At 48.8% G+C, this 14,424-nt stretch overlaps 1 protein-coding gene across 1 annotated transcript, besides 1 other annotated feature; it reads left to right on the top strand.

Annotated features, from left to right (window-relative positions):
• The first annotated feature begins 1,411 nt into the window (after window positions 1-1,411).
• RCVRN (recoverin) lies at window positions 1,412-10,363 on the top strand. The gene is made up of 3 exons (NM_002903.3): window positions 1,412-1,883; window positions 5,583-5,694; window positions 8,479-10,363. The coding sequence occupies exons 1-3, from the start codon at window positions 1,503-1,505 to the stop codon at window positions 8,586-8,588; spliced, it is 603 nt and encodes a 200-aa protein (NP_002894.1). The 5' UTR covers window positions 1,412-1,502; the 3' UTR covers window positions 8,589-10,363.
• Window positions 7,134-7,635: an enhancer, noted in NCBI's record as "H3K4me1 hESC enhancer chr17:9802365-9802866 (GRCh37/hg19 assembly coordinates)". NCBI's record gives its function as "activates a minimal SCP1, AML or CMV promoter by ChIP-STARR-seq in primed H9 embryonic stem cells {active_cell/tissue: H9 hESC(primed)}" and the evidence as "EXISTENCE:reporter gene assay evidence [ECO:0000049][PMID:30033119]".
• Window positions 10,364-14,424: the final 4,061 nt, after the last annotated feature.

The following is a 14,424-nucleotide window of genomic DNA, read 5'->3' as shown; positions in this document are numbered from 1 at the left end:
CACTCCAAGTCCACTGCAGACGGACACCCTGCAGCCTGCCATGGACCCACAGATAGATTGTGTTTGGCCCACACCATGTTTTGTTTTGTTTTTGTTTTTGTTTTTGTTTTGTTTTTTTGAGATGGAGTCTCACACTTGTCACCCAGGCTGGAGTGCAATGGTGCAATCTCGGCTCACTGCAACCTCTGCCTCCCGGGTTCAAGCGATTCTCCAGCCTCAGCCTCCCAAGTAGCTGGGATTACAGTCACCTGCCACCATGCCCGGCTAATTTTTTGTATTTTTAGTAGAGACAGGGTTTCACCATGTTGGCCAGGCTGGTCTCGAACTCCTAACCTTGTAATCTCCCCACTCAGTCTCCCAAAGTGCTGGGATTACAGACGTGAGCCACCATTAAAATTTTGAATTAATTGCCAAAGTTGAAAAGTGTGGAAATTGCAAGAAAAATTCTGATTTTTGGATTTCTCTTGAATAATTTAAAAAAACCCAAAAATCTCACCATCCCATGTGACCACGTTCTCTGGCAGCCCCTTCCCGAGGTGACACAGGCCTGGCTGCCCCCTGCTGGTCCCTTCAGGCAGTTCACCTTCACTCCCTGTGACTGATGGACAATAACAAAACGAGTGTTTAGCATTAGCCATGTGCCAGTTTCTAAGTGTGTCAGACATATTGACTCACATCAGCCTCACAATGACAGTGTGGTAGATGCTATGATGCCCATTTATTCAAGAAAGACTTGCTGGGGGCCCAAGCCTATCAGGTTCTGGCAATGGAAATGCATCCGGGAACAACACAGACAAAATCCCATCCTTCACGGAGCTTTCATTCCGGTGAGGGGACATGCAGCGTGCCGATGATGGTGGGGGTTGTGCTATTATAGATAGAGGGTCAGTATAGGCCTGGCTGAGCAGGTGACATTTAAGCAGAGACATGACTGCAGTGAAGGTTTAGAAGAGTGTCCCAGGTGGAAAGAGGTGAAGAAACAAGCCTGGGGCCACACAGCTAGTTAAGTAGCCAAGCTGGGACTTGAACCCATGCTGGCCCCAGAGTCTGTGCTCCTAACCATTGCATTCTAGGGCTTGATATGAGATGCCAGCCCCGCCCCGAGATGCTCAGAGTTAGTGAGGAAGAGAAACAGGGAACATGGCTGCTGTTAGAGGGCTGGGGCTGGGGGTGCCGGAGGCCCCAGCTCTGAGGGTTCCAACCTCCTGTCCTGTTCTAGTATCGTCCCGGGAGGCCGAGATGAATTGCCTGCCTGCCCTGGGCTCTTTATTTTAATCTCACTAGGGTTCTGGGAGCACCCCCCCCCACCGCTCCCGCCCTCCACAAAGCTCCTGGGCCCCTCCTCCCTTCAAGGATTGCGAAGAACTGGTCGCAAATCCTCCTAAGCCACCAGCATCTCGGTCTTCAGCTCACACCAGCCTTGAGCCCAGCCTGCGGCCAGGGGACCACGCACGTCCCACCCACCCAGCGACTCCCCAGCCGCTGCCCACTCTTCCTCACTCATGGGGAACAGCAAAAGTGGGGCCCTGTCCAAGGAGATCCTGGAGGAGCTGCAGCTGAACACCAAGTTCTCGGAGGAGGAGCTGTGCTCCTGGTACCAGTCCTTCCTGAAGGACTGTCCCACCGGCCGCATCACCCAGCAGCAGTTCCAGAGCATCTACGCCAAGTTCTTCCCCGACACCGACCCCAAGGCCTACGCCCAGCATGTGTTCCGCAGCTTCGATTCCAACCTCGACGGCACCCTGGACTTCAAGGAGTACGTCATCGCCCTGCACATGACCACCGCGGGCAAGACCAACCAGAAGCTGGAGTGGGCCTTCTCCCTCTACGACGTGGACGGTAACGGGACCATCAGCAAGAATGAAGTGCTGGAGATCGTCATGGTCAGTCTCCCCTCTCCCCTTCTGGCTGGGCGGTGCCGGGGTCGCTCCGGGCTGGGGGTCCCCTGCTGCAGCTGCTGCAGAGGGAGTGGATCTGTGGGTGGAGCGGGGGATGCGGGCCACTGGCTCTGAGAGCGTGGTGCTCCGAGATGCTGATATTGATAGAGGGGTGGGCACTTGCCCACAGCTTCGTTGTCTTCCCGGAGCAGAATCTGAGTGTTTCCTAATACAGCCATGTTATGCTTGGCTTCACGATGTTTGGGTCAACAACGGACGATATAGACCACTGTGGTCCCATAAGATTGTAATGGAGCTGAAAAATTCCTACTGCCTAGTGACGTCATAGCACAGTTACTTTATTTTTCAAATGCATTTAGTGTAGCCTAAGTGTATCCGTAAAGTCTGTAGTTGTGTACGGTAATGTCCTAGTTCTTCACATTCACTCACTACTCACTCACTGACTCACCCAGAGCAACTCCCAGTCCTGCAAGCTCCACTCATGGTGAGTGCCCTAGACAGGTCTACCATTTTGTATCTTGGTTTTTTATTTTTTATTTTTTTGAGATGGAGTCTCACTCTGTAGCCCAGAGCTGGAGTGCAATAGTGCGATCTTGGCTCACTGCAACCTCTGCCTCCCGAGTTCAAGCAATTCTCCTGTCTCAGCCTCCCGAGTAGCTGGGATTACAGGTGTGCACCACTATGCCTAGCTAATTTTTGTATTTTTAGTAGAGACGGGGTTTCACCATGTTGGTCAGGCTGGTCTCAAACTCCCGACCTCCAGCGATCCGCCAGCCTCAGCCTCCCAAAGTGCTGGGATTTACAGGCATGAGCCACTGTGCCCGGCCCATTTTTTATCTTTATACTGTATTTTTACTGCATGATTTCTATGTTTAGCTATGTTTAGATGCACAAATACTTACCATCGTGTGACAACTGCCTGCAACATTCAGGACAGTCACGTGCTGCACAGGTTTGTAGCCTAGGAGCAAAAGGCTGGACCATGGAGCTCAGGGATGTAGTCGGCTCTACCATCTGTGTTCGTGCAAGGATGCTCTATGATGTTCCCACATAGAAGTTGCCTTAAGATGTGTTTCTCGGAATGTATTCCTGTCTCTGAGCGACACGTGACTATATTTACATTTTTTCTTTCTCTCCATCCTTTGTTTCTTCCTTCCTTTATTAAAATGTCCTTTGAAATTTTCAGCAGTACACATTCAAGTTGAATCACTGTTCATTCTAAACACACAATATGCTTCTAATATAAAGTAGAAAGAGGTCAAAGTTGGGGGCATGAACTCTGAGTTCTAGTCCTCATGTTCTCCCCAGCGCGGGGCGGATCATGGCACCACGCATGAGCCCCCGCTTCCCACGCGCGGCGTGGCTCCCCGGCTCCTGACAGTTTCCCTGTGAGGCGCACAGGCTTCCATATGGTTCCCAACACGCCTTCTCCCCTGTCCATACTGTCCTCCTGTCAGATCCTTTGTTGTGAAAGTAATGGCAAAAACCATAATTACTTTTCCACTAACCTCGTAGGTGTCTTGAAAATGGTTTATCTGATATAAAAGTAACTCATGAAATTTAGAAACCTAGGCAAAAGAGACTAACAATTGCCTCTAATTCCAACATCCAGGGAAAACTTTTCTTAGTATATCAGTATATACCTTTTCAGTCTTTTACCTATATAATTTTAAATAATGTTAAAGCTATGACATATTCACATACGATTTTTTATCATACATTTTTCAGTTACTCTTTTATCATGAGTGCTTTCCATATCATTACATATTCTTCCAAAACACTTTTTTTTTTTCTTCAGACAGAGTTTTGCTCTTGTCGCCCAGGCTGGAGTGCAGTGGCGTGATCTCAGCTCACTGCAACCTCCCCCTCCTGGGTTTGAGCAATTCTCCTGCCTCAGCCTCACGAGTAGCTGGGATTACAGGCACCTGCCCAGCTAATTTTTGTATTTTAGTAGAGACGGGGTTTCACCATGTTGGCCAGGCTGGTCTCGAACTCCTGACCTCAGGTGATCTGCCCGCCTCGGCCTCCCAAAGTGCTGGGATTACAGGCGTGAGCTTCCGCACCCAACCTCTTCCAAAACTCTTTTAATAGCTGCTTGGAATTCTGGCTTATGGAAATGTGGAAATTATTGAACATTCCTATGTTTTTGGACATTAGGTTGTTTCCATTTCTTTCCTATTATACCAGTTCTAATTTCCTTCATTTGATTTTTTTTTAATTTATTCTTTTTCAGTCCCCCTGCCCCTGCCACTTACCTTATTCTTCTAATTCCATTCCTGTTAGTAGAGACTATTGTTTAGATGTTAATAACTTTGTGTGCATTGGCAATCATGCTTTCATTTGCATGATGACAAATGCACAAAAATCTTCCACAGTTATTAGGAGAAATCATAAATAAAACAGCAGAGCATGCAGCTTGTGGTCCATGGGCTTATCCTCAATGCTCAGCTCGGGCCTCCCATTCTGGCAGGCATGTGTCTCTCTCATTGTTATCTTGGCACAGCCTGCAGAGAAAGCTCCCTCGGATTGGCTGTGGGGTCTCTGGGTGGCCTGGGACAGGGACTAAGTCTTCAGAGTGGCATAAACAATGCAGGGCCCAGCAGAAGCCTACAAATTGATACTCATTGAATAAAAGGAGGAGGAAAGGGAGGAGGGGGAAATGAGGGAGGGAGAGAGGGAAGGTAGGAGTCAGGAAGGAAAGAGGGGGAAGCAAGGGGAAGGAGAGAAGGAAGGGAGGGAGGAGAAGGAAAGGAGGAGAGAAAGGAAGAAAGAAGAAAGGAAAGGGAGGGAGGGAGACTCCATCAATGGCTGGGGCTGTGCAAGGTGGCAGAAGGCTCTGCTATTCACCAGATTACAAGTTCATGGGCAGAGCACTGACTGAGGGAGTTAAAAGTGAAGGGTTCTAGTCCCAGCTCTGACTCCAACTAGCAGTGTTGCTGTGGGAAAACCATATAACCTTCCTGGGCCCAGGGTGAGGATTTGATTATTTTTGCAGTCTTTCCTGAGGCTCTGGAGGTCTGTCCCTCCGTGTTGGAAGTGGGGTGGGCAGGCACTCACTGCCAGCTTCTAGCTGGCACACCTGCACATGGTGCCCAAGGCCCTGCACAGATGGATAGGAGTGTAGGAGCCACCTACACTGGCGTCCAGCTCAGGGCTTTGAGTGCTGCCAGCGACGCTGCTGCCCTGGGCTGTGGCTTTGGCCTCTTTACTCCTTTATCCAGCACCAGGGGGCTGAAGGGAAACTTCTCAAAGCTGTCGACCTTCCCTCCAGGATAATTTCACAGCCATTATTGCCCCTGCCTGACCTGCTCACAGGTGTCTCCGGGGAGGCAGAACGCAAATGGTTTGCGAATGTTTTCTCCCATTCCATAAGTTACATTTTGATTTTGTTCATTGTTTCCTCTGACATGGAGAAGCTCTTTAGTGTGATGCTATCCTGCTTGTTTATTCTGGTTTATGTTGCCTTTGCTTTTGGTGTCATATCCAAAAAATTATCGTCAAGACCAGTGCCAAGAAGCTTTTCCCCTACGTTTTCCTCCAGCAGTTTGACGGTCTGAGGTCTTATGTTTAAGTCTTTAATCCATTTTGAGTAGATTTTTGTGTACAGTGTAAGATGTGGATTTTCCAGGGTTGCCAGCCCCTTAAAGTTCCTCCTAACGAGTTCTTTCTTTCTGTTTGGTACAGGCTATTTTCAAAATGATCACTCCCGAGGACGTGAAGCTCCTTCCAGACGATGAAAACACGCCGGAAAAGCGAGCCGAGAAGATCTGGAAGTACTTTGGAAAGAATGATGATGGTGAATTCCTTTTCCTTCATTGCCTTTGATTTTTCAACCATGGGCTGTTTCCTGGAAATCCCAACAAGATTTATTCTTCTGAGTCACAGTGTCCAGGCAGGATGGGGGACACCTCATTCCATTGTGCATTTTCAGAGCTGTTTGAAGGGTTGGACAGGGGAATGGCCTTAAGGGTGAGCAGGAGCCAAAACTGTTTTCTGTGCAATTAGAACAAGAGCAAACTTCAGCTCACCCTAGCTTTGAATTAATATCGAGTCCCAAGTCAGTGGGATCTGTATTTCTATGGTTTTACTTTGGGAAGTTGGTTTGGGTCCTCTGAGAAACACCACCAAGATAGGATTAGATTTAAATGAGATTGCAAGAGATTTATGGGAGGAAAGGCTGAAGAAGGAAAACAGGCTGGGATCGAGAGGAGGCTGGGAAAGCTATCAGACTGCCAAGCAGATCTGACCCCTGGCAGGGAGAGAGGGAAAGAAAGGAAGGTTAGGAAAGAAAGGAAGGTTAGGAAAGAAAGGAAGATTAGGTAAGTAATGCCCGAGACTGCAGTGCAGTCTGAGGAAGTGTTGACAGAGTCGATGGGGTGTCCTCAGTGCCCCTGTCAGTCTTGGTGCCCCTGCCCTGTCAGTCAGTGGCTGGAAGCAGCCCCCAGGAAGTGTGATCCTGCACTGTAGGCAGTGATGGACTCCAGCACTCGGCTGCTGGGGCTGTGTGTCTGTGATGCTTACGGCCAGCACAAGGATGCGGTAAAGGAGCTGGTATTAGGCTGGGGCTGCAAACACATATGGCTGGAGGGGCAGGAATGATGAAAACGAGTTATGTGGACAGTCATCTACAAGCAGTGGGGATTGGCAAACAGCAGAGGGTGCACCTCTGGTCTGATGGCTTCCAGCATATTCCATGTGGGGCTATGGAACCCGTGGTTGAGACATCATCTGATTTTTTTTTAAGAGAAGCCAGCCATGAAGACTTTAAAAATCCAGTGTGTCTCAACTGATAAAACACAGCATGGCCCAAACACATCCAAGGGTCCTGTATTAACCCCTTTGGTGACCTCTGGAGGCAGTCTTCTGCCAAGGTTCAAGAAGAAAAAGCTGAGCAGGATGCTAAATAAGGGCAGAGAGAGATGACCCTGCTCCTCCTAATCTGCCAACAAATGATGAAATAAGAGAAGCATGAAGGTCATTGGGGTAGGAGGAACATAGGACACAGAATTTAAGGAGGCGCTCGTTCTCAGGGGTCAACAATGCACTCACAGGACCTGAAAGTGAGCGCCTCCTTAAATTCGCGCCTTGGTACTTTACCCACCTTTCCCTCATCGGCCCGGATTGGCCCCTCACCTTTGAGCACTCTCTCCTCCTTGCACAGACACTGGCTACCAAGATGCCTTCTTTTGGCACTTTGCCCCACTGGCTCCTTAACTGGCTTCGCGACCTCCCTCTGGGTCCGTTCATGTGTCGAGCCCTGTGTTCTGCTTTTTGCTCATCTGAAAACCTCCCTGGTGAACATCCCGGGAGGGGATGACGTCAGAAGCCCCGAGGTCGACGTGTTACTCCTGTTCGTGATGTGTTGTACGTGTTTCCACGCGGCCCATCTGGAGACAATGCCTCAGGGCAGAGTCAGGCTTTGATGGTGGGAGTTTCAAGCTCTCTGTGAGCTCTCTGTGGGGTGGCTGGGATGTTAAAACCCAAATTTTACCACCCAGACTTGCGGAGGAAGCCATCCTGGATCCTAACCCAGAAGGGATTAAAGGTATCCAAAAGGCCCAGAGCATAAGTCAGAAATCACATTCAGTTCAGCAAAGCTTTGTTGAGCACCGACTCTGTGCTAGGCACTGTGAACATACAACAGAAAGGAGCATCTGTCTCATGCTAGAGGTATTTCTGCGTGTGACTGCCTTCCCCGCCAGGTCAACAGTTTCCCAGGGAGGGACTTCATCTCACTCTCTTCTATTGTACACCCCGCCTCCGCTCCCTGTGGTGGCCTTGGCTCCAAGCACAGTGGCATCTGGGCTCAGGACCATGCATTTAACTGGACTGATCTGAATACAGTTAGCCACCTGATTAAAAACACCGGAAAACCAGGTGTGGGCGCAACAAGGCTGTCTCTCAGTCCTGATCCCAAATAAGGAGGCAGATGAGACTGGGGGACGCAGGGATGGATGCATAGGAAGGGATCATGGCGGAGTTGTCAGCCAGGAATCATGGGGCTGCCTGTGTGCTGCAGGTGCCAAAGAGACCTCTCTGCAAGCCACACTCCCCCTGGCATGATCTCATTGGGCCCTTCACTTCTCACTCCTATTTCTGGAGGGATGTTGTTCCCTGCTTCTCAGCTGAGACTCTGGGCCTGACATCCAGATTGTTTTGCTATGCTCAGACCCCCAGAAGCTCCTCCTGAACTTGATCCTTGAAACTTGAGCTACTATAGAAAATAGAATAACAATTAATAGTTATTAATTATTGAAGTATTTAATAACCAGCAAGGCAGGGGCACCGGCCAATCGGAAGAGACACATAGCACAAGACTGGCATCTTGGGGGCCCCCCCAGTGCCAGTCATTCACCGCTCTTTGCTGGTCTGCAGGGAGCTCCAAGGGTCATGGGAAAGGAGGTGGGTATCTGGACTGGGGTGGGGGAATATTGAATACTCAGGGCCACTGAGTATTCAATATTCTTATAATAGATACATTCACACTGGGGATACTGGCTAGATGTCAGCCTCATCGCAGCTCACTTGGCTATCAATCCTGACTGTTTTATGTACGTATATATTTTTTCCCAATGCACAGATAAACTTACAGAGAAAGAATTCATTGAGGGGACACTGGCCAATAAGGAAATTCTGCGACTGATCCAGTTTGAGCCTCAAAAAGTGAAGGAAAAGATGAAGAACGCCTGATGCCAACTGTTCAGCTGTCCTCCCTCCACCTACCACTCACATGACACCCGTGAGCGCCTGTGCACACACACACACATGCACACACACGCGCGCGCACACACACACACACACATCCACCCCAGGGCCAAGAGAAAGGCCTGCACACAAGCCCACAGCACAGCTCCCTGCCAAACTGAAGCATCTGTAGTGACCCACTGGTTCCTTCTTCCTGGGTCTTCAGCATTCCCTCCCATCATGCCCGGTCCCACCCCTCCCTCTGTCCACCAGCCCATGGCCCTGTGCTAATCCCAGGATTAGGCCATAGGAGTCCTAAGTGTCACCCCGCTGTAAGCTCCTTTGTGGAGTGCTGGGTAAGCAGTTTCCAATAAACGCAAGCTGAGCTGGGCACGTGGCTGCTGGTCATCCTTCAACTGGAAAAGGAAATGATTTCTATCAGTCACACCTCAAAGACAAGGCTGTGTTGCGATGGCAGCCCTAGGCTGGGCTGCTTTGGTGCGGAATGAGTCTAATGCGGTCCTGCTGTCATGGAGCTCATGGTCCAGAGGGGACAATGAACCTGGAAGGAGCCATGACCAGTGGCCCAGGTTACCATGGAAACGTGCAGAGCACCAGGGGAGGACACAGTGGAAGGGGCTGACTTGTCAGGGGGGATCAGGGACCACATCCCTGACGAAGGGAGATTTAAATTCAGAACCACTGCACACGAGGCGGGGGACGGGGTCGGGGTGGGGAAGTCTCAAACAGAAGGCGGCCAACACAGAGCCGCTGAGGCATGAATGACCATCTCGAGTTCCAGGAGAAGGTCGGGGTGGCTGGAGGGTAGAAGGAGGAGGGAGAGCAAAGTGTGAGCTGAATCTAAAAGGTAGGCGGGGGCTGGACCACGCAAAGCCCTCCCTGCAGCCTGTGGTAAGCACTTGGGGGCTCACCATGGGGACAGCGGTGCCACTGTGGAGTTGGAAGTAGGAGGGGTTTATGTTTGTAAGAGAAGTCCCCAGCAGGCTAAAATAAGTCAGAGAGGAGCAACTGGGGGCTCCCTGGAGTCAGGGAGCCCGATGAATAAGCTTTTGCAGCCACTCAGATGGCCTGGGCCAGGGGAAAGGCAATGGGATGGAGAGGACCAGATCCAGTGAGGACACATTTAGGAGGTAGCATCCACCTGGCTGGCTGAGGGGGCAGGAGGAGAGAGGGCAGGAATGGCAGCCAGGCCTGTAGCTTGGGCAGTGGGTGAATAGCAATGCCATCTATGGAGATGAGAAATACAGAGAGTCTTTGGGGTTTCAGGGAACAATGATGAATTCAGCTTCAATATAGTATGAGGTGAAGGCAGAGCCATAGATGGCCCTAAAGCCCCTTGTTTTAGAGACAAGGAAAAGGAGTCCCAATGACAGGAAGCAGCTTGCCCAAGGGCAGCCAGCTGATGAGCAGAGGTCAGGCAAGGGCTACCCACCGGCCCCCAACTGCCTCCTCAAAGCTCCAGGGCCTGGGATACCCAGGAACTCCATCAGTGCATTCTCCAAGATCCCTGGATTTGTTGCTTTGAAGGCCCATTTATTCTCCAGCCTCAAGTTCCAAGATGAGGTCAGAAAAATGCATGGATACCCTGGATTCTTGACTGACCTGTCTGCAACCTCTTGAGGCTGAGGAGTCTCTAGTTGCTGGTATTGTGGTGATGCCTCCAGACCCCACTTTAGCCACAGAGATGACACAATCACCACTGCCAAAGAGCACTCCTCTGTGTGGAGAGCAAACGTGAGAATAAACACTTATGAACCGTGCACCATGCTAGACTCTGCCATCATTATTTCATTGATGGAGATGTTATTATCTGCACAATACAGATGAGGATACTGAGGGCAGGAAGTGTGAGTAGGAGTTGGTACTTAAACTGGAGTCCCTTTGATTACACCAGATTTCTCCAATAGTTTTGACCTGGACACAGCAGGATAGAGAACTCTAGGATTGCACAATGTCAGAGATGGAAAGGGGAAGGAGGCTACAAGGCATGAGTCCAGAGGTTCTGGGAGGAGAAGGATTATTACTAGAATCATCTACCCAAGGCATTCTCCCATGTAGACATAGTGGGCTATATAGAAGCCAGTTCAGTGGGAGATAAAAGACTCTGTGGGTCCAGTCCAGAGTGTTCTAGGAATATAACCAAAGGGCTCAATGCTCTTTCCACCACACTCCATGAATGAATCTGGTTGCTTCGAGGATGAGGCTGGGGGCTTTTCACTTCTCTCTGAGGTCAGTCTATCATTGTCACTTGAGTCTAAAAGGACAGACACTGCATAATTAGGTCCTTGCTGGTTTGTGGTTCAATGGGAGAGCCAAAGAGTGAAAACCTAATTAGTGCCTCTTTTTTTAGCTTAGGGTGGAAGGACCACTTGGGCTGAGATTCTCTACAGCTGTATGACACTTTGTGGAAAATAAAGCATGAAGTTCAACTTGGCCACAGGGAAGAGGAGGTGGAGATAGTGATGAGCTATGTCATCAAGACTCTTCCAGATGCAAAAGGTAGATGACCTGGCACAAATTATTGTGGCACAAATAGAAATTGCTTGGCTCTTATAGCTGAAATTCTAGGAGTAGGGCTAGCTTCAGGTATGGCTTAATCCAGGGGCTCCAACAATGTCCCAGAGTTCATTTCTCCCTCTCCTGGTTCTGGTTTCTGCTGTCACCACCATTCTCAGACAGGTTCTTCCCATGCTGGCAGGACGGTCACCAGCAGATCCAGGCTGCCTTCTTCATGGTTCCAATTTCAGCAGAAAAGAGAAAATGCTTTCTCTTAAGAGTCCCAGCCAAAGTGTCAGGATTGCATCTCACTGTCTCTGGTTAGTTATATGCCCATGCCTGACTCAATATCTGATGCCAGAAGGATGTACTGCTCTGCTTGGCCAGCAGATTTTTATGCCCATCCTTGAACTGAGGATAGAGTCAGGACAACTCAAGTTCCGTGGACTGACAGTAGGAGATGAGTGGTTTTTCCAAGAGGAAAATTGGGGTACTATAAGAAGGGCAGATTCTAAAAATAGATGTCTACTATAGAGACCTTGGGGAAGTCATTTCCTGTCTCTAGATCCCTGACTCCTCAAGTACATGTAAATTCAAGGGCAGAAATGGGTCTCATTAAGAGCAATAATCCAAACTGCCTGAGCTTCTGTTGCCACCTGCCCACATAAGATCCCAGCCCCTTGTGCAGTGTCTCTTGGGCATTTTTAGCATCTCCAGGAGGTGTCCCACACAGATTCACCCATAGATCCCTTAGTGCCAGGTGCCATTGCTGCCCTCAAGTACTACGTTCCTAATCACAGGCGAGGCCACAGTGCTCCTAATGTACCCAAGCTGTGTGCTGATCTGCTGAGGAGCCTTCTAGGTTAGAGTCTATCAGAACAGCCCCATGGGAAGTAGCATGTGTCACGGAAACAGCTTTTGTCATTGCCTCCTGGAAACAGCTCTCCTAGCTTTTGTCTGAAGCTTCTCTTCTCTCACCAGGCTCAGACTCTGACCATGGAGCCAAGTGGGGTCAGCCGCCGTACTGCTGTCCACTTCACTCCCATTTCTGCCCCTTAATGGTTATATAAACTCATCAGACAAGCCCAAAAATGTCTGTGTCTCAGGCTCTTAGGCTCCAGCTGGATGACCACTCCTTAAAAAATAAAACTGGGCCAGCCACACCTACATTGCCTGTCACTTAAGAGTTGTGAGAATCAGTTGAGTCTGTGCTTGTGGAAGAATTTGAGCTCTAAATGCTACATGGGAGAAAGACTCAGTTTATTTGGACTTCGGCAAGGTATTGTCAGTTTCCAGAGGAGGGTTCACCTCCTTCCCCTCTGCCTCAGTTCCAATGTTCTCAACCTTGGTCCCATATTAAAGTCACACAGGTGGCGTTGATGCCAAAGCACGGGCAGCAAAAGAAAAACAAATAGACACATTGGACTTCAACAAAATTTAAAACTTTTCTACATAAAAGGGCACTATCAAGAGGCAAAAAGACAATCTACAGAATGAGAGAAAATATTTGCAAATAATAGATAAGGTATCCATATTCAGAATGCATAAAGAATTCCTGCAACTCAACAACAAAAAACAAACAATCCAATTGAAAAATGGGCCAAGAATTGAATAGATATTTTTCTAAAGAAGACTCACAAAGGACTAATCAGCAGGCACATAAAAAGATGCTTGACATCATTAGTCATTCCGGAAACGCAAATCAAAACCACAATGAGATACCATTTCACAGCCATTAGGAATGGTTATCATAAAAAAATAGAAAATAAATGTTGGCAAAGGCCATGGAGCATTTGGAATCCTCATGCATTGCTGGTGGGAATATAAAATGGCGCAGCTGTTGGGGAAAATATAGAATCACCATATGATTCAGCAGTTCCACTTGTAGGTATACTCAAATTTTTAAAACAGAAACCAGATGTTTATACATCCCTACCAATAGCAGCATTATTCACAATAGCCAAACATGGAAACAAGCCAAGTGTCCATCAATGGATGAACAGATAAACAAAATGTGGTATGCATGGAATATTATTCAGCATTTTAAAAAAGGAATTTCTGACACACACTACAAGGTGGATGATCCTTGAGGGCACTATGGGAGTGAAATAAGCTGATCACAAAAGGATACATACTATACAGTTCCACTTATAGCTGATGTATCCAGAATAAGCAAATTCACAGAGACAGGAAGTAGAAGTTGTCAGGGGCTTGGGGAGGAAAGAATGGGAGGCTATTGTTTAATGGATGTAGAGTTTCAGTTCAGGAAGATGAAAGAGTCCTGGAGATGGATGGTGGTGACGGCTGCACAACAGTAAGAAGGTACTTCATGCCACTGAACCATACACTTAATAATGGCTGGCCGGGCGCGGTGGCTCACGCCTGTAATCCCAGCACTTTGGGAGGCCAAGGCGCGTGGATCACCTGGGGTCAGGAGTTTGAGACCAGCCTGACCAATATGGTGAAACCCCATCTCTACTAAAAATACAAAAATTAGCCAGGAGTGGTGGCAGGCGCCTGTAGTCCCAGCTACTCGGGAGGCAGAGGCAGAAGAATTGCCTGAACCTGGGAGGTGGAGGTTGCGGTGAGCCGAGATCACAGCACTGCACTCCAGCCTGGTGACAGAGCAAGACTCTGTCTCAAAAAACAAAAAGAAAAAAAGATGGCTACAATGGTTAATTTTATGTTATATATATTTTGCCACAATTTAAAAAAGATCACTCAGGAACTTATAAAAATCCCAATGCCCAGGTCTAGTAAGACCATTTCAATCAGAACCTCTGGGGTCAGACCCTGTCACTGGTCTTTTAAAAAAGCTTCCCAGGGGGCTGGGCGTGGTGGCTCACACTTGTAATCCCAGCACTCTGGGAGGCCGAGGCAGGCAATCACCTGAGGTCAGGAGTTCAAGACCAGCCTGGCCAACATGGTGAAACCCCGTCTCTACTAAAAATACAAAAAAAATTAGCTGGGCCTGGTGGCTCACGCCTGTAGACCCAGCTCCTCGGGAGGCTAAAGCATGAGAATTGCTTGAACCCGGGAGGTGGAGGTTGCAGTGAGTTGAGATCATGCAACTGCACTCCAGCCTGGGAAACAGAGTGAGACTGGGTCTCAAATAAATAAATATAAATAAAAATAAATAAAAAGCTTCCCAAGGGATTGTAATGCGAGGATTGAGAACCACTAGACTAGATCTTCAAAGCAACAGGCAAGCTGAGTGACCAATGGGGTGGTCTATAAAAGGGGAGACACTCTCCTTCCATTCTTTTGACCTCTGACCTCTGCTTCTGGTCCCGGCCCCTCTGCCCACTCCTCTGGTCCCTAAGAC

This window comes from Homo sapiens, chromosome 17 (assembly GCF_000001405.40).
Source record: "Homo sapiens chromosome 17, GRCh38.p14 Primary Assembly".
Taxonomy (NCBI): domain Eukaryota; kingdom Metazoa; phylum Chordata; class Mammalia; order Primates; family Hominidae; genus Homo; species Homo sapiens.
This window is presented reverse-complemented; position numbering and strand designations above follow the sequence as displayed.

Excerpts from the sequence above, each read along its gene's own strand:
- RCVRN (NM_002903.3), top strand. The coding sequence starts at position 1,503 with ATGGGGAACAGCAAAAGTGGGGCCCTGTCCAAGGAGATCCTGGAGGAG. Across the intron at positions 1,884-5,582 it reads AAGTGCTGGAGATCGTCATG|GCTATTTTCAAAATGATCAC; the intron begins GTCAGTCTCCCC and ends TGTTTGGTACAG. Across the intron at positions 5,695-8,478 it reads CTTTGGAAAGAATGATGATG|ATAAACTTACAGAGAAAGAA; the intron begins GTGAATTCCTTT and ends CCCAATGCACAG.